The sequence below is a fragment of the Homo sapiens genome, chromosome 1 (genome assembly GCF_000001405.40).
Source record: "Homo sapiens chromosome 1, GRCh38.p14 Primary Assembly".
NCBI lineage: Eukaryota > Metazoa > Chordata > Mammalia > Primates > Hominidae > Homo > Homo sapiens.
In genome coordinates this window covers 168104207-168123649 of record NC_000001.11, presented here as the reverse complement: position 1 = coordinate 168123649, position 19443 = coordinate 168104207, and the positions used below count along the sequence as shown (strand labels likewise).

At 44.1% G+C, this 19443-nt stretch overlaps 1 protein-coding gene across 15 annotated transcripts in view; it reads left to right on the top strand.

The window, feature by feature from the left end:
* GPR161 (G protein-coupled receptor 161) overlaps window positions 1-19443 on the top strand; it is a 58126-nt gene that overhangs the window by 14018 nt on the left and 24665 nt on the right. For 6 of the 15 annotated variants that reach the window (NM_001349633.1, NM_001267609.1, NM_001267611.1 and 3 more), the window contains one exon: window positions 18756-19173. The exons of 4 other annotated variants lie outside the window; for them this stretch is intronic. In NM_001349633.1, the coding sequence (NP_001336562.1) occupies window positions 18800-19173 (374 nt within the window). In that variant the 5' untranslated portion in view covers window positions 18756-18799. Of the gene's footprint in view, window positions 1-9100; window positions 9195-18755; window positions 19174-19443 lie in introns of all 15 variants that reach the window. 5 more of the 15 variants (NM_001349632.1, NM_001349634.1, NM_001267610.2 and 2 more) reach the window with 1 other exon arrangement.

The window sequence follows — 19443 nt, the reverse complement described above, 5'->3', positions numbered from 1 at the left end:
TGGAGAATGGATAGCTTTCCACCACTTTGCAGACTGGGTCTAATGGCCACTCCAGCTTCCATGCAAACAAGTGTGTGTGTGTGTGTGTGTGTGTGTGTGTGTGTGTGTGTGTATGTATGTGCATATCTATATCTATATCTATATAGATAGATATAGATAGATAGATAGACAGATACATACATATAATTTTTTGAGACAGGGTCTTGCTCTGTTGCCCAGGCTGGGGTGTAGTGGTACAATCATAGATCACTGCAACCCTGACCTTCTGGGCTCAAGCCATCCTCTTCCCTCAACCTCCTGATTAACTGGGACTACAGGTGTGCATTACCATGCCTGACTAATTCTTTATTTCTTTCTTTGGTTTTTAGTAGATACAAGATCTTGCTATGTTTCCCAGGCTGCTCTTGAACTCCTGAGATCAAGCAATTTTCCTGCCTTGGCCTCCCAAAGTGTTGGGATTATAGGCATGAGTCACCATTCCTGGACCAAGCCCATATATTTTTGTAGGCACATTTGGTACCCCACGTGAAATCAGGGTTCTTTTGATAGAAGAGGAGAATGGATGTTGGCTGGATAATGAATAGTGTCTGCTACTCTTCTGCAGAGTAAACAAGAAATGCCTAGTGTGTCAAGGTGTCTAGTGTCCCATTGTTCCTATATTTATTCATCACAATTATTGAACATCTACAATGTGCCAGGCACTTTTCTAGGTGCTGATCGGAAAATTTGCAGACCAAAATTTCCTTGCCCTCATGGAACCTACAGTCTTGTGAAAGAGTAAGACATTAACAAGATAAATAAGAACACACACATGTGCTAAGGACAAAAAGTAAAGAAGGGGATGGGGCCAGGAAGTGTTGGAGGGGGTATGAAGTGTTACATAGTATGGCTGGGGAAGGCTCTGCTGAAAAGGTGAGTTAAGGGAAAGGGCATTCTGGGCATACGAAACAGCAAGTGCAAAGCCCCTGAGCTGGAAGCATGCTTGATGGGTTTCAGAAATAGTGAGGAGGCTAGTGCGTTGGAGTAGAAAGAATCAAAGGTAATTTTTATTAAGAGATTGGAGCGGTAATGGAGAGCCAGGCCCTGGAGGGAGCTGCAGGTCGAGGTAACAACTTTGGGCTTGCTCTGTGTGACATGGGAATCTTTTTACGGTTTTGAGGGAAGCCGTGACTTGTTTTGATGTCTGTTTTAACAGGCTCACTGTGGTTGCTGTTTTGAGAAAAGGGGAAGGGTGGAAGCAGGTAGATTCGTGGGAAGCTATTTTAATAATCCAGAGAAGATATAATGTAGCCTGGACCAGAGTGGTGGTAGCAGAGAATAGTAAGACATAGGTGAATTCTGGATACTTTTCAAACCTAGAGCCAATAGATTTGCTAATGGACTAAGTCCAGGACATAAGAGAATGAGGAGCCAGGAGTGACTCCGTAGTCTAGGGCCTGCACAACTGGAAGGATGGGATGGCACGCGTGGAATGAGGAGGAACACAGGAAGAGCAGCTTGAGAGGTGAAAGACTCAAAATCTGGTTTTGGACACAGTCTTGCAATGCCTGTGACATGCAGGTGGAGATTTTGGTCGGAGGTAGGAGTCTGGAGCTCCAGGGAGTGGCACTGGCTTCTCTCCATCTGAGCATGGGCTCCTGGCACAGTTGCCTATTGAAGCACCACAGCCACTTCTGGCAGCAGCGCCAAACAGACTTGGAACAGCCTTGGGTAGTTCTGATCTTTTGTGACCCAGCTTCACCTTAGGGATTTGCTGGGAGCCCAGTTCCAGGCAGGATGGCCATGAGCCAGTGTCTGTGGAGGCTTCCTCAAGCCTGCTCTGGAAGGGCTGGAATTTCTGCCCTCTCCCACGGAGGGAATGACGTGGTTGAGGCTGGGGCAGCCGGCGGGCTGCCAGAGGAAAAATCCCTGCCTAATGTGCAGCTGAAACAGTGATTTCTATGAGGACTTGCTCAATCTTCAGGTTGCTAAAGCTGTCACAGAAAGCTGTGTGGACCCCCAGCTGTTTTTTCTTCTCTATTCCTGAAGCACTTAACTCTTGGGGCCTGAGACTCTCCCCTGAGTGAGCTGTCTTCATCATGAGTCCTGCTAGTTGCTTGTGGATTTTCTAGGAGGTTGACGTGGACCTCCACTGTCTGTGCTGACTGGGAAACATGAAGGGGTGAAGACAGCTTTTAATATAGGAGATGGAGAACTGGGAGAGAGGCCAGCTGCCCTTTTAAAAAATTCACCGACAGTCTATGGTTGAGAGCCCAGCTTTGCTTAGGATTATGTGCTTCACATTTTCCTACATGCCGCAACAAAAACTGCAGAGGGGGTTGATTCACAAAAAGTAGAATTCTGTTTTACCATGTCACCTGGGGAGTTGTTCCACTTGCTGGGGTGGGTGCAGCATGATTAATGGTTTTATTTAGTGGGTTCAGCCTTGGAAGTCACTGCTGTATTAGTCCCTTGAGAGCAATAATTAATGCCAGACAAAGTCTTAGTTTCCTCATCTGCTACAGTAGGAGGTTAGACTAGATGTTTTCTAAGGATCTTCTCATCTCTAACAATGGGTGAGAAGCTGTGGAAATAGCTGGCTTCCTTCATCCAATCCCTTTGGACAGAGAAGTTAAACAGAAGATGCCTAGATATGTTTTTTTTCCAAAATTTTTAAATTATGGTAAAATACACATAACATAAAGTTTACCATCTGTATTAGTTCATTTTCACACTGCTATAAAGAAATACCTGAGACTGGGTAATTTATAAAGGAAAGAGGTTTAATTGAATCACAGTTCTGCATGCGGGGGAGTCCTCAGGAAACTTATAATTATGGCAGAAGGCAAAGTAGAAGTGACTACCTTCTTCACAAGGCAGCAGGAGAGAGTGAGCACTTAGGGGAAACTGCCACTTTTAAAACCGTCAGATCTCCTGAGAACTCCCCCACTATCACGAGAACAGCATGAGGGAAATCGCCTCCATGATCCAATCGCCTCCCACCAGGTCCCTCTCTCGACATGTGGGGATTATGATTCGAGATGAGATTTGGGTGGGGACACAGAGCCAAACCATATCATTCTTCCCCCGGCCCCTCCCAAATCTAATGTCCTTTTCACATTTCAAAACCAATTATCCCTTCCCAACAGTCCCCCATGGTCTTAACTTATTCCAGCATTAACCAAAAAGTCCAAGTCCAAAGTCTCACGTAAGACAAGGCAAGTCCCTTCTGCCTATGAGCCTGTAAAATCAAAAGCAAGTTAGTTACTTCCAAAATACAATGGGGGTACAGGCATTGGGTAAATGTTCCCATTCCAAATGGGAGAAATTGGCCAAAACAAAGGGACCACAGACCCCATGCAAGTCTGAAACCCAGCTGGGCAGTCATTAAATCTTAAAGCTCCAAAATCTCCTTTGACTCTATGTCTCACATCCAGGGCATGCTGATGCAAGGGGTGGGCTCCCATAGCCTTGGGCAGCTCCACCTCTGTGGCTCTTCAGGGTACAGCCTCTGTGGCTGCTTTCATGGGCTGGTGTTGAGTGCCTGCGGCTTTTCCAGGTGCATGGTGCAAGTTGTCAGTGGATCTATCTTTCTGGGGTCTGGAGGATGGTGGTCCTCTTCACACATCTTCACTAGGCAGTGCCCCTAGCGTGTGGGGCTCCAACCCCACATTTCCCTTCTGCACTGCTCTAGGAGAGTTTCTTCATGAGGGCTCTGCCCCTGCAGCAGACTTCTGCCTGGACATTCAGGCATTTCCATACATCCTCTGACATCTAGATAGAGGTTCCCAATGCTCATCTCTTGTCTTCTGTGTACCTGCAGGCCCAACACTACGTGGAAGCTGCCACGGCTTGGGGCTTGCACCCACTGAAACAATGTGAGAACTCCCTCACTATCATGAGAACAGCATGGGGAAACCACCCCCATGATCTGATCACCTCCCAGCGCATCCCTCCCTTGACATGTGGGGATTACAATTCGAGATAAGATTTGGGTGGGGACACAGAGCCAAGAAATATTACCATCTTAACCATTTTTAAGTGCACAGTTGAGTGGTATTAAGTACATTCATATTGTCGTGCAGCCATCACCACCATCCATCTGCAGAAGTCTCTAGCTTGTAGAAACCCTATTCTCATTAAACTATAACTCCCCATTCTGCCCTCCATCCAGCTCCTGGCAACCACCATTCTACTTTGTCTTTCTGATTTTGACTACTGTAGGTACCTCATGTAAGTAGAATCATGAAATAGTTGTCTTTTTGTGACTGGCATATTTTACTTAGCATATGTCCCCAAGCTTCATCCATATTACAGCAAATGTCAGAATTTCCTTCCTTTTCTAAGGCTGAATAATATGTATGTACGTATGTATATATGTGTATATATATATATATATACACATATATATACGTATATATATATGTGTATATATATATATACGTATATATATATGTATACATATATATATATATGATGGAGATTTGGGTTGCTTCTACATTTTAGCTATGGTGAATAATGCTGCTATGAATATTGGTGTGCAAATATCTCTTTGAGACCTTGCTTTCAGTTCTTTTTGGTATACACAGAAATAGAATTGCTGGATCATATGGTAATTCTGTGTTTAATTTTTTGAGGAACTGCCATACTATTCTCCACAGTGGCTGTACCATTTTACGTCCCTGCCAACAGCGTAAAAGGGTTGCAGTTTCTTTGCATCCTCACCATTTGCTTTTTTTCTTTTCTTTTCTTTTTGATAGTAGCCATCCTGGATATCTCAGTGTGGTTTTGATTTGCATTTACCTAAATCATTAGTGATGTTGAGCATCTTTTCATGTGTTTATTGGCCATTTGCTCGTCTTCTTTGGAAAAATGTCTATTCAAGTCATTTGTCTATTTAAAAACTTTTATTAACACTTTTTTTTTGTTTTTGAGACAGAGCTTCATTCTTGTTGCTCAGGCTGGAGTACAATGGCACGATCTCGGCTCACTGCAGCTGCCACCTCCTGGGTTCAAGCGATTCTCCTGCCTCAGCCTCTCAAGTAGAAATTTTTTTTTATGTGTATATATTTAAGGGGTACAAGTACAGTTTTGTTACATGAATATATTGCACAGTGGTGAAGTCAGGGCTTTTAGCGTATCCATCACTGGAGTAACGTACATTGTACCCATTAAGTTGTTTCTCCTCATCCACTCCCCTTCCTAACCCTCACCCTCGTGAGTCTCCATTGTCTACCACTCTACACCACTTCTATACTCTGTGTCCCTGTGTATACATTATTTAGTGCCCACTTATGTGGTGTTTGTCATTCTGTGTCTGAGTTGCTTCACCTAATGTAACTCTTTGCTTGTTTTTGAATTGGATTGTTTGTGTTTTTCTTGTTGAGTTTTAGGAGTCCTCTGTATGTTCTGGATATTTATCCTTTATCAGATACATAATTTGCGAATATTTTCACCCGATCTGTGGGTTGTCGTCTTTTTACTCTGTTGATAGTGTCTTTGGATTCACAAAATTTTAAAATTTTCATGAAGTCCATTTTGTCTATTTTGTTTTCTGTTGCTTGTGCCTTTGGTGTCAACTATAAGAAATCACTGCCAAATCCAGGGTCATCTGTGACTTGATATATTGTCTGTGTGGTTTCTGAGCCTCAATCTCTTCTCTACCCCACTTATTTGTTTGTTTCTTTCTGTTTTTAAATAAAATTATTAGCCCCATAGGTCAATAAAATGCTTTATACTTACTACATCTTCATTCATTCCACAAACAGGGAGAGTCTTTCAAATAAGCAAAAGCAGAGTGGAAATGGGAGAGTGCGGCACAGCTGGCTGCAGCAGAGGGCCTGGGAAGGGGTTGGTGGTGAGGAGTCTGCAACACAGTGAGGCTCAACCTTGTAGCATCTCATCTGCTGTGGTGAATGGATGGATTGAAGATAAACAATAGACTCACAGGCACATGACCAAGTTGTAGGGCTAATACCTACTGTTCTCTTGAACTAGTCACTTACCTTTCTGAGCCTCAGTTTCCCCATTTTATTTAACAAACACGTAGCACTAAGCACTGTTCTAAGCACAGTACAAATATTAATTCATTGACTCCTACCACCAACCCTATGAGGTAGATACTCCTATTATCCCTGTTTTACAGATGGGGAGACTGATGCAGGGGGGGGTTAAGTAACATGTCAAGGCCACAGAGGCAGTAAGTAGCAGAGCTGGGATTTGGAACCCAGGCTTTCTAGTTCCAGAGCTCATGCTCTTAACCATTATGTCATGCTGCCTCTTTAAAAAGGGGGAGAAGTCATCCCTACCTGTAAAAGTTATTCAGAAAATCAAATGAGATTATGTGTGTAATAGTATGTCATATATTGCACTGCGTTTTGCAAATACTGTCATTATTAGTTAATAATTAAGCAATACTCTGGAAATGATAAAATTCTCAAGGAATCTAATAGGAAGAACGGAATGGATTAAGGACTGAGCCTTGGGAATATCTATACCCAGAATCCAAGAGCTTGGATTTGGAACAGTATTTGATAGACTTGCTGCTGATGCCCTTGTGGAGAGGGTTGCAGTCAGCTGCAGAAGCTGGAGAGGAACCTCAAACCCAGTGGCATTTGCAGAAGGATGTTGTGAAGGGCAATGAGGTGCTCAAGTTGATCATGTATCTGTGGAGAGCACCAAAGCCAGGTCTCTCCCATTGGCGAATTCAGAATTCAGAAGTCCATAGGCCATCTGGGGTTCTGACTCTAGCTTCTTTGCCTTTCCCTGGTACATTCTCCCAAGCAGATCAGAGCTCAGACCTGCTGCACTTGTTAAATGAGAGGTTTTGAACAAAGACATTCCTAGATTTGTGGTGCCCTGATGGGGAGAGGGCCAAAGCACTGTGCATTGCAACAGACTCTGCGTTGGCTGGGTGGGTACACGCCCCTGGGGTTGCAGAGGCCACGCCTTGTGCCTGCCATCTATGGGGCAACTTTCAGGTGAGTGCCAGGGAAGGATGAAGGGAGGGCAGGAGGGAGCCTTTGCACCTGGCTGTTTACACATAGGTGTGGACACCCAGGGAGCCCGTGATCTCTTTCTGCCTCTCAACGAGCTGTGTGGCCTGGTTTGTGGTTGGAATGAGAGTAGGGTTCCCTTTCTTTATCTCAGTTACAGGGTGGTTATTAGATCCTTCTTCCCAACCCTACCCCCACCACACACCCCGCCCCAGTTAGTGACTGATGTGTGTAAAGTGCTTTGAGGTGCTGAGATAAAGGGGCCCTGAGAGTATGGCCAGATGAGCAGCAGGGTGATTTCACCTGGACTTGTTGGAAGTGGTGTTTAGGAATTTTCCTCACCTGGAGGATAATTTATTTGAACAGCTTATGTACCTACCTGTTTGCACTTGATTTCTTTAGAAGAGGGCAGCTGGAAGTCCCAGTGCTGCAGGCTGGTCAGCTCTTCGTAAGAATTGATAGTGGGATTCACAGAGTGGACAATGGAGTGGTGCATTCTGCTCTAAAGGAGCCTGTGGAGGAGGAAATGAAACACTGCCTCACTCAGGCAGATTTAAGGATATCAGAAGAGACTTTTATGATAAAAGAAACTATTTTCAGGCTGGGCGTGGTGGCTCACGCCTATAATCCCAGCACTTTGGGAGGCCGAGGTGGGCAGATCACGAGGTCAGGAGATTGAGACCATCCTGGCTAACACAGTGAAACCCCGTCTTTACTAAAAATACAAAAAAAATTAGCCGGGCGTGGTGGCGGGCGCCTGTAGTCTCAGCTGCTCGGGAGGCTGAGGCAGGAGAATGGCGTGAACCCGGGAGGTGGAGCTTGCAGTGAGCCGAGATCGCGCCACTGCACTCCAGCCTGGGCGACAGTGCAAGACTCCGTCTCAAAAAAAAAAAAAAATTTTCTCTGGAGCAGAATTCTGGAGAGGACAGGTGTGTCTTGTCCTATCCCGGGGACCCTCATTAGAGAGGCGTCAGGACCTGCCTCCTTCTGACCACCACACCCCGCCAGTAACCCCGGGCCTGTGATTTGCAGGCTCTCAGGCTGTCCCTTAGGATGTCCTCATAAATGAAGGGTATTGTGGAGATGGGGGAGGTCTCACTTTCCTTGCTGTGGCTTGTGAACTGGGACATAGATCTTCTGATCCTAAAGGGGCACACTCTGGGGGTGAAGAGCTTCTTAATGCTTCCATATGAGGAGAGTCTACTTCCTAGGGCCCAGGAGCCCATGGCAAAAAGAGGAGGAAAAAGAGGAGGCTGAGGCAGGCACAGCTGTGCTTGAGTTGGCCTAAACTTGACAAAGGGAAGGCTTCTGGTACCAGTGTCCAAAGAGGTGGAGTCTTGACATGTGTTATATAGATCATGATAAATCAGAATATTAGGATTCTGTAAGTTGCAAGTGATAGAAACCCAGCAAAATTAGTGTGAGGGAAGGAAAAAAGTGACTGTCTTATGTAACTAGAATAAGATTCAGAATCTTAAGTCCTTTCATCAGCATTTGTGGATGAATTCACCTGTGTCCTCCCCACCTATCCACCCCTTTGCCCTGTGCTCTCATCCTCTGCTTTATTTGCTGGTAAGCTCCTCCCATGTAGTGTTAAAGACGGCCAGCTGCTACAACCCTGGGTTCGTATTTTGTCACACTGCCAGCCCTGTGGTAAGCTAGCCTGTCCTCCAACGCTTCCGGACAAAATCCCGGACCTAGGGTCATGTGAGCATCCCTAGCCCCATCAGTGAGACTCTCTAGCCCACCCGAGATCAAGAGCTGACCCCTAAAGCTGCAAGTGATGATGGCTTCACCCAAATCACATGGCCTAAAAATTTAAAAAGGGTAGGCCAGAAATAAATGAAGGGTCATTTCCCAAAGTAAAATCAGGTTAAACTCTTCAAATGGTAACACTGGCTTGCAGTGAAATGTTACTGTGCACCAGATGCTGCTCCAGGCACTTTATACAAATGAACTCAGTGCTCACAATAACTCTTAAGAGGAAGATGATACTCATTTTACAGACAAGGACACAGAAGGCAACCCTTTTACTTAGGCGTATGTAGCTAAAAAGTGGATGGGCTGGGCTTCAAACCCAGACAGTTGGCTTCAGCATCTGTGCCTTTTTTTTTTTTTTGAGACAGAGTCTCACCCTGTTGCTTAGGCAGATGGCGCGATCTCGGCTCCTGGGTTCAAGCAATTCTCCTGCCTCAGCCTCCTGAATAGCCGGGATTACAGGTATGTGTCACTACACCTGGCTAATTTTTGTATTTTTAGTAGAGACAGGGTTTCACCATATTGGCCAGGTTGGTCTTGAACTCCTGACCTCATGATCCACCCACCTCAGCCTCTTAAAGTGCTGGGATTATAGGTGTGAGCCACAGCACCTGGCTGGCATCTGTGCTCTTAACCACTAGGCCACACAGTCTTCTGACAAGTGCAGAGCAACAGCAATATGATCAGGGAGAAATTTCCACCTTAAGACAATCAAAATGAAAGAGTTTTAGGTAAAAATATGAGACCACAAAATAACCCAGATTTACACAATTAAATAATAGAAAGAACCTAGTCTTATGATGTAGTAATTCTGTCCTTGAAGCTCAAGGCATTTCTGGAATTATTTCTTGGATATTACCATGCAAAGCAGTTTATAAAACACAACAGATACCTGTCTCAATACCCTAGTATTGCCTTATTTTTTATTTTTGTTTTTTAATGTTTAAGTTCAGTGGTACATGTGCAGGTTTGTTATATAGGTAAACTCATGTCACAGGGGTTTGTTGTACAATTATTTTGTCACCCAGGTACTAAGCCTAGTACCTAATAGTTATTTTTTCTGCTCCTCTCCCTCCTCCCACCCTCCACTCTCAAGTAGGCCTTAGTGCCTGTTGTTCCTCTCTTTGTGTTCTCATCATTTAGCTTCCACTAATAGGTGAGAACATGTGATATTTGGTTTTCTGTTTCTGCATTAGTTTGTTAAGGATAACAGCCTCCAACTCCATCCTTGTCCCTACAAAGAGTATGATCTCGTTCTTTTTTATGTGTACATAATATTCCATGGTGCATATGTACCACATTTTCTTTATCCAGTCTATCATTGATGGGCACTTGGACTGATTACAAAATGGTATTAATTACTGACTTGAGTGATAAGATTTGGCTTTGAATGACCTGAAGCCGTTGCCAGTGGTCTAATCCAGCAGACAATTTACTATTTCTGGAAATGCACAAGAAGACTGAAGACAATTCCAAAAGAGGAGTGACCACAATACGTTGAGCTGTGGTGGCAAGGATGAGTTAGTGATCAACTTTCCCTGATGACCTGTCTGAGAGGGACAGCTGTCTTTCTCAGGGATAATTTCTGATAGGTTTATTAAAACCTTTGTCTAGATGTTTCTCGGAGAAGCAGTGCAAGGTGATTTACTTGGCCAGGGCAAGATGTAGTGAGTGTGGGAGTTCTGAAGCACCTTTGTGTCTAGCAGCAGAACAGCCCCAGAGAGTAGAAATGTGAGTCACACTTGAGCTTGTTTCCATTCAATGGGCCCTGGCTTGTTGGGCCCTGGGTAAGCTGGCTGCCTGCCAGGAAGCCTCCTCTGGCTGGGGCATTCCAAACCACTTCTCTTGTTCTTTAAAGATACACCCTGAGGGATTTGCTGGGGCTTGTGCCTTCGCTACTCCAGACCTCCTGGCAGAGACTGGGATTTTGGATTTCACTGGGTGGGCAGCTCTTAGGTCCACATTCCTCCTCTGTCTTCTGGGGAATATTGGACCAGAAGGCCTTAAAGACTGCAAGCCAACTCTGGGCTCTCTGATTCGCAGGTCACTGGTGTGCTTGCTAAGATGGAGTCTTGCTCTGTCACTCAGACTGGAGTGCAGTGGTGCGATCTCAGCTCACTGCAACCTCTGCCTCCTGGGTTCCAGTGATTCTCCTGCCTCAGCCTCCTGAGTACCTGGGATTACAGGCACCCGCCACCACTCCTGGTTAATTTTTGTATTTTTCGTAGAGATGGAGTTTCACCATGTTAGCCAGGCTGGTCCCGAACTCCTGACCTCAAGTGATCCGCCCACCTCGGCCCACAAAGTGCTGGAATTACAGGCATGAGCCACTGCGCCAGGCCTAAATTTTATTTTTTATTGTTCCTACTTAGATTAATCTACGTATTTACCAAATTTTTTTTTTTCTTTTCCTTTTTTTTTTTTTTTTTTTTTTTTTTGAGACGGAGTCTCACTTCGTCGCCCAGGCTGGAGTGTAGTGGCGCGATCTCGGCTCACTGCAAGCTCCGCCTCCCGGGTTCACGCCATTCTCCTGCCTCAGCCTCCCGAGTAGCTGGGACTACAGGCACCCACCACCACGCCTGGCTAATTTTTTGTATTTTTAGTAGAGACGAGGTTTCACTGTGTTAGCCAGGATTGTCTCAATCTCCTCACTTCATGATCTGCCTGCCCCGGCCTCCCAAAGTGCTGGGATTACAGGCGTGAGCCACCATGCCTGGTCCCAAATTTTTTTCTAACAGTTGATTCTTGTACCCTACCTCTTATCTCTGGATTGTTTTCTTCTTCATGAAATGTATTTGTAAGCAGATCACTCAAGAGTTGTCATTAGTAACCATTCAGGTTTTGTTCACCCCAGAAGTATATTCACCTTCTCTTGAATATTATAGAACTTTAGGGCAAAGGTTCCTTTCCTTAGATATTATTCCATTGTTTTCTGGCCTCTTTTTTTTTTTTTCTGTTGAAGAGTCTACTATTTATCTCACTGTTACTCTATAGGTGAAATTGTTTTTTCCATTTCTCTGTATGTTGGTGTTTTCATTTTTTATTATGATGTGTCTTGATACAGGCTTTTAAAAAATTATTTTCAGAACTTGATATGCTCTTTCAATTTGAGGATATTTCTTTAATCCTAGAAAATGTTCAATCATACCTCTAAATTCTTGTTAACTCTAGTAGATTGGATATGTTTGGCTCAAGCAACAGAAACCCAACTCAAAATAGCTTTAAAAACAGTTTTTAAAAATGTATTACTTCACATAACAAAAAGCCAGGAGAAAGGTGACTTCAGGATTTATTAATTTATTAGCCCAAGGACCAGCCTTTCTTTTCAGCCATGCTCAGCATGTTGGCTTCGCATCCCTAATGGTCTCAAGACGACTGCCACAGCTCCAGGCTCCCTTTCTGTCTTTGCCACTAGGGTCATTAGGGAGATTTATCTTCCTTGTGTCTTTGTGTGATCAAAGCAGCTTTACCCAAAAATCTTCCCCCTTCCCCTCATCAAAGACTTTTCCTCCTGCCTAACTACAGGTGGCGACTGCCAGAACTGCAAGAAGAAAGGGAACATAGTGATTAGTTTAGACCAATCAGGATCTGTATCCCAGAACTAGGGATAAGATCAGGCTTCTCTGAGGCACTTGGAGGAGGGTTGGACACCAGACAAAGTCAGAGGTCTGCTAGTTAAGAAAAAACTGAGAATGGTTGCTGGGTAGGTAGCCAACAGTGTCTACTCCTTTAATTCTCTCTAACCTCGCCTGCTGCCCTTCTGTTGGACATACGTTGGATTTTCTTAGCCCATTCTTCCTGTATTTTGACTTTTATTACATCATTTCAATTTCTTAATTTTTCTGACTGCATTCTGAGTAATTTCCTCGGACGTTTCTTCTAGGAACCATCTTTCAGTTAATCATCTTTCTTTTTAGCTAAATCTGCTGTTTAACATACCCATTCGTTTGTCTTTCATTGTGGTTTCTAGTTCTTTTCCCTTTTTTTTTTTTTGAGATAGAGTTTTGCTCTTGTCTCCCAGGCTGGAGTGCAATGGCATGATCTCAGCTGACTGCAACCTCCGCCTCTTGGGTTTAAGCAATTCTCCTGCCTCAGCCTCCTGAGTAGCTGGGATTACAGGTGCCCGCCACCACACCCAGACAATTTTTGTATGTTTAGTAGAGACGGGGTTTCACCATGTTGGGCAGGCTGGTCTCGAACTCCTGACTTCAGGTGATCCACCCACCTCAGCCTCCCAAAGTGCTGGGATTACGGGAGTGAGTCACCACGCCCGGCTTCTTTTCTTTTTAAAAGCTTTTACTTGTATTGGTTTTATTGTCTCTTTTCTTTTCTTTTCTTTTCTTTTCTTTTCTTTTCTTTTCTTTTCTTTTCTTTTCTTTCCTTTCCTTTCTTTCGTTTTTTTTTTTTTCTTTTTTAATGTTGACAGGGTCTCACTCTGTCGTCTAGGCTGGAGTGCAGTGGTGTGATCACGGCTCACTGCAGCCTCAACCTCCTGGGCTCTGGTGATTATTCTCCAACCTCAGCCTCCCAAGTAGCTGGGACTACAGGCACACACCACCAAGCCTGGCTAATTTTCTGTAGAGATGAGGTTTCACCACATTTCCCTGGGTGGTCTCGAACTCCTGTGCTCAAGCCATCTGCCTGCTTCGGCCTCCCAGAGTGTTGGGGTTACAGGCGTGAGCCACTGTGCCTGGCCACCATATTTTTTCTATTAATTCAAGTTTTTGGAAGTCAGTTCTCCTATTTTGTTGCTGTTGTTGTTGACTGTCGCTCATGGTGAATGCTATGTGCTCACTTTCATCAGGTATTTTCTTGTTTGTATTCCTTATAAATTCCTTATAAAGCTATTTTGATTTACTTCTGTCAGCATTAATTTTTACATGGGTTTATTAACTTGGATTTCTGTAGCATGCAGAATGTATACATTTAGTTTTGTTTGTTTGTTTTGTTTTGAGATGGAGCCTCACTCTGTTGCCCAGGCTGGAGTGCAGTGGTGCGATCTCGGCTCATTGCAACCTCTGCCTCCCAGGTTCAAGCAATTCTCCGCCTCGGCCTCTCCAGTAGCTGGGACTACAGGTGTGTGCCACCATGCCTGGCTAATTTTTGTATTTTTAGTAGAAACAGAGTTTCACCATGTTGACCAAGCTGGTCTTGAACTCCTGACTTCAGGTGATCCATCCGCCTCGGCCTCCCAAAGTGCTGGGATTACAGGCATCAGCCACTGCACCTGGCCGGAATGTATAAATTTAGAACCCTCATTAGCATGTCTTAATGTTTGATTTCTCATGGAAAAAAATGTTGGTACCCTGCCCAGAGCCTCAAGTTAAATGACTATATTTTTGCCACTTTCCTATGCCAGTGGGAGGAGCTTTCTAATCCCTTTTCCATGAAGGAGAAATCCCTTCTAGAACCTACTCTTTATGTAGGATGTTGGTTCCAGTTCTCTGCCTTGTAGGGCCCAAAGTCATTCTGCCACCTAAAAACCTCTGCCCTAGGGGACTTAAACTATAATAGATCTAATACCCTCTGGTTACAGGTGTGAGGTTAATATTCTGCCTTTTAGTTTTTTCTCTGTTACCTGTAGGTTTCTTTCTTTTTTCAAGTTTGACTTTTTTTAAAAAATTAAATTTGGGGTTATATTTAATCCAGCTTTTCTGTGCATTTGAAATAAGAAACATGTTCACATCAGTGACATCCACCATGTTGCCAGAGGAGACTCCCATAGTAAGTGAACAACGCTATCCTTTGCTTGGATAAAGTCATTATACCTTGTGAAGTGCTTCCTAGTCTTGTTTTCATTCACCTTTTATATTTTCAATTTCTTAATCTTTCTGACTGCATTTTGGGGAATTTCTTCAGACTAATTCTTATATTTATGCTTGAATAGTGAGTTCATACTGATACGTCCAATCACCAATCTAACACAAGGTGTTTTCTCACCTCCCCCCATTCTGTAATTTGTATCGTTTATCTCCCACAGTAAAATACTTGGTTCCCAACATAAGCGTGGTTATAGTTCAAACAAAAGCATTTATACACAATTGCCCTACAGTCCAATAGGTATAAAATTGCAATGCCATTACCAACATCTAACCTACTAAGTAAACTTAGTAAACTTAATTTTTTTCTCTTTATGGTTATATCATTAATCTGATTTACATTAGGCTTTTTTCTGTCTACAGTCAAGTTTATGTTTACTTTTTATAACATTTTTTATTTAAAATTTTTAGTGTGTAAAATATTTACATGGTTCAGAAATCAAAACTATAAAGAAATAGAGAAATTTACTTCTCTCTCTCTTAATTTCTGATGTATCTTTCCTATATTTCTTTTTAAATAAACATATTTATATATATTTGTGTGTGTATGTATTCTCATTTCAACTTCTTTCTCACTTATTTCCAGTTTTTTTTTTTTTTTTTTTTTTTTTTACAACTAGGGCCTCAGTGGATAAAATAACCTTGTCCACCTGTTATTTCGTATTGTGAATTTGTATCTTCAGGGTAGATGCTTAGATATGGAGTTGCTGGGCCAAGGGTGTGCAATGGTTTGGATATGGTTTTGGGGGCCCCGCCAAGTCTCATGTTGACATTTGATCCCAGTGTTGGAGGTGGGGCCTGGTGGGAGGTGTTTTTGTTGTGGGGTAGATCCCTCATGGAGGACAGCATGGTGCCATTCTTGTGGGAGTGAGTGAGTTCTAACTCTTAGTTCCCACTAGAATGGGTTGTTGAAAAGAGCCTGGTACCTCCTTTCCTCTCTTGGCTCCCCTCTCCTTATGTGATCTGCATACACTGGCTCCCCTTTGTTTTCAGCCATGAGTGGAGGCAGCTTGAAGCCCTCACCAGAGACAGATGCTGCACCATAATTGTACAGCCTGCAGAACCATGAGCTAAATAAACATCTTTTCTTTATAAGTTACCCAGCCTCAGTTATTCCTTTATAGCAATGCAAACAGACTAAGACAGGGTGCATACACTTAGTATTTTTACCTTTGCCCAATTCCTCTCCCTAGGGTTCTGCCAGTTGCATTTACTGGAAGTGTAGGAGAGTGCCTGTTTCCCCAATGCCTTGCCTGCAGAGAGTGCTGCCAACCTTTGGAATTTCCTGGTCTGAAAAGAAAGAAATGGCATCTCAGTGTAGTTTTAACATGGATTTCTCTTATTTTCAGTGAAATTGGGTATTGTTTCAGTGTTTGAGTACCATGGGCATATCTTTCTGTGAACTCTGTGTTTAGGTCTTTGTCTTTGTCCATTTTTTGTTGCTTATAACAAAATACCTGAAACTGGGTAATTTGTAAAGAAAAGGAATTTATTTCTTACAGTGATGGAGGCTAAAATATCCAAGGTTGAGGGGCTGCCTCTGGTGAGGGCCTTCTTGTTGGTGGGGACGCTGTAGAATCCCCAGGTGGCACAGGGCATCACATGGATGGGGGCTGAGTGCTAGCTCAGGTCTCTCTTCCTCTTCCTATAAATCCACCAGTCCCACTGCGTGATAACCCATCAATCCATGAATGCGTTATTCCATTCACGAGAGCAGAGCCCTCATCACCCAGTCACCTCTTAGAAAGGCTCCACTTCTCCATGTTGCCTATTGGAGGTTAAGTTTCAACGTGAGTTTCAGAAGGTACAGGCATTCAAACCATAATAGTCTTACGGCCACTTTTTTATTCTGGGTTTTCATCTGTTTTTTTTCTCTTGATTTTTTTTTAACTAGTTCTTTACAGATGAGGATGATTAGCTTTTTATCTGTGATATAAGCTATAAACATTTCCTCTCTTTATTTCATTTGTCTAATGATTCAACCTCTATTTTCTTTCTTTTTTTATAATTTCAACTTTTATTTTAGATTTGGGGGTACATGTGTAGGCTTGTTACATGCAAAGTCTATTTTCTTAATCACCATGTTGTCCCTTGTGCAGTAATATGCTTATTTAGAAACTTTGAGACGTTAATTAATAATTTACTTATTAGAGTCAACAAACCCAGAACTCGCCAACTAAAGGCAAAAACCAAAAACAACCTTACAAAGACACAGACATAGAAGGCACACCTAGAAAGTATCTCCATAGCACAAAGCTGGAGTAACTAATATGTTACATAACTGAATCAAAATTCAGAATACTTTAGCAGCCTGGAAATATGGGCCAAAATGCATAAAGGGAAATTTAGTAGAAATAATGTTTTGTACATAGGCTTAAAAACATTAATTCCACATGTTCAAGATTAGGGACATCTGTCTTCACAGAAATTCATGTATGTATAAACTTTGGGGTTTAGTCAATCACACACTTATATAAGCCCAACAGAATTAGTTGCTACAAGAAAATGTTTTGAGACAGGGTCTTGCTTTGTCACCCAGGCTGGAGCTCAGTGACACAAACAGCTCACTGCAGCCTTGACCTCTGGGCTCAAGGGGTCCTCCCACCTCAGCCCGCTAAGTAGCTGGGAGTACAGGAATGTACGACCATTCCCGGATAATTTTCTGTGTATTTTTCTGTAGAGACAGTTTCGCCACGTTGCCCGGGCTTGCTCTCAAACTCCTGAGCTCAAGCAGTCTGCCCACATGGGCCTCCCAAAGTGCTGGGATTACCGGTGTGAGCCACTCTGCGCCCTGCCTCCAGAAAATGTATTCTTAGAGTGAATAGTAGAAGGGGATTATTCTGATCATGGAGATAATTGCCCCTTTGGACCTGACACTTATCAAAATACATCCAGAATGGTGTGTTCAATTTTGGGGACCGCAAATCAAGAGAGTCATAGACATCTGAGAGCAAATACAAAGCAGGGAAGCTGAGTTAGTGAAAGGTCTGGAAACCACTATACAGCTCACTATGAGGGAAGCTTTCTCTCTGGCACTTAGGACTGCTGGTGAGGGGAAGGGCTGCCCTATTAACCCATGCACTCCCTCTGGCCAAAGAGTGTTTGAGTAGAGGCAGCGGATCCACCACGAGGGTTGTGAGGATGGCCCCGCTGCTGTGTGTAGGCAGTTTAGGCAGCAGAGTTTTTGTCTTGATCGTGGAAAGCGATCTTTCCTTTCTTTTTGGTGTCTTCTGTGTGCAGAGAATGAGAGCAGGTGGGGAAAGTGATCTGTGGGGTTTTTTGGCTAACTGAAGTATATGAAGAGTTTTGGAGAAACATTAGTCTGTAGGATTTAACATTAACATGTGTCAACCTGCGGCTTTAGCCAAGATCCCAAGCCAGTTTCCTGAGGGCAGGGACTGCACCTTATAGACAGTGATGTCTGTGGGCCAAGACCTCAAATGGTGCCTCTACTTCCCCATTTACAGTTAGTGCTTGCCCTCCCTCGCCGTGTCTGATGAGAACAGTAATGACGTCCCCATATAAACTGTACCTGATTAATCCCTGCTTAGGGAGCTCAGAACAATTCCCATGAGAATCTTACAGTCAAATTGTAATGTGCACCAAAACTGACTGGCGGTGGGCTAAAATGCAGATTTGATTCCGTGAGATGGAGATGCGGAGCCTGAGGTTCTGCCTCTCTAGTGAGCTCTCAGGTGATGGTGATCCTGCTGGTTCAGGGCCCACCCTGAGTAGCCAGGGTCTAAACACAGCAGTCTGCAGAGTGTCTCCCATAGACCACTTGTAACAGCCCCCTGCCCCCTGCCCCAGCCTGCTTGTTTAAAATGCAGATTCCTAGGTTGTGCCTGTGATCTCTGCGCCCAGAACCTCTAGTGGTGGAGCTCAAGGATCAGCTTTCTAAACTGGCACTTCAGACGATTCTTCAGCACATTAAAGGTTTTGAACCACTGGTCTTGGGAAAATGGATAGGATGGGTTAGACCAGAGGAAGAAATTGGTCAGGGGGATGTAATGAATTTCACACATGGTTGTAGAAAATGGCCCACTTATGTAGCGCTTACGTGGGGAAGACCCGCTGAGAGTCTGTACTAGCTGGGTGATCTGAGGCGTAGCACTTAACCCCTTTAAGCCTTTCTTCCCTAAGGTGGAGACGATGTGATTTGATGAATCTTTTCCTGTCCCCTGGTCCTGCCTTATCTTTCCAGTCGTCCAGCATGCTCTGCCCACCCCACGCCGAGGTGCACTGACCATGAGCCTCAACTCCTCCCTCAGCTGCAGGAAGGAGCTGAGTAATCTCACTGAGGAGGAGGGTGGCGAAGGGGGCGTCATCATCACCCAGTTCATCGCCATCATTGTCATCACCATTTTTGTCTGCCTGGGAAACCTGGTCATCGTGGTCACCTTGTACAAGAAGTCCTACCTCCTCACCCTCAGCAACAAGTTCGTCTTCAGCCTGACTCTGTCCAACTTCCTGCTGTCCGTGTTGGTGCTGCCTTTTGTGGTGACGAGCTCCATCCGCAGGGAATGGATCTTTGGTGTAGTGTGGTGCAACTTCTCTGCCCTCCTCTACCTGCTGATCAGCTCTGCCAGCATGCTAACCCTCGGGGTCATTGCCATCGACCGGTAAGCATGCCTCAGACTTAGAGAATTGAGGGATTACTGACGGGCGCTCATCTGGTGCAGTGTCCCTCTGACTGCCTTAGTTCCCTGGAGAGTGTCAGGGGCCCTTGCTGGGGGAGGATGACCAGGTGGAGTTCTGCCTCTGGAGCCATCTCTTCAACCAAAGCACATCTCGTTTTGTCTGTGGATGTTACATACAATATTATATTTTAAAAAGAGCTTCCATCGCCTAAAATAAAACATTGTAGAAACCTCTGATTCTTGGTTTGTAGA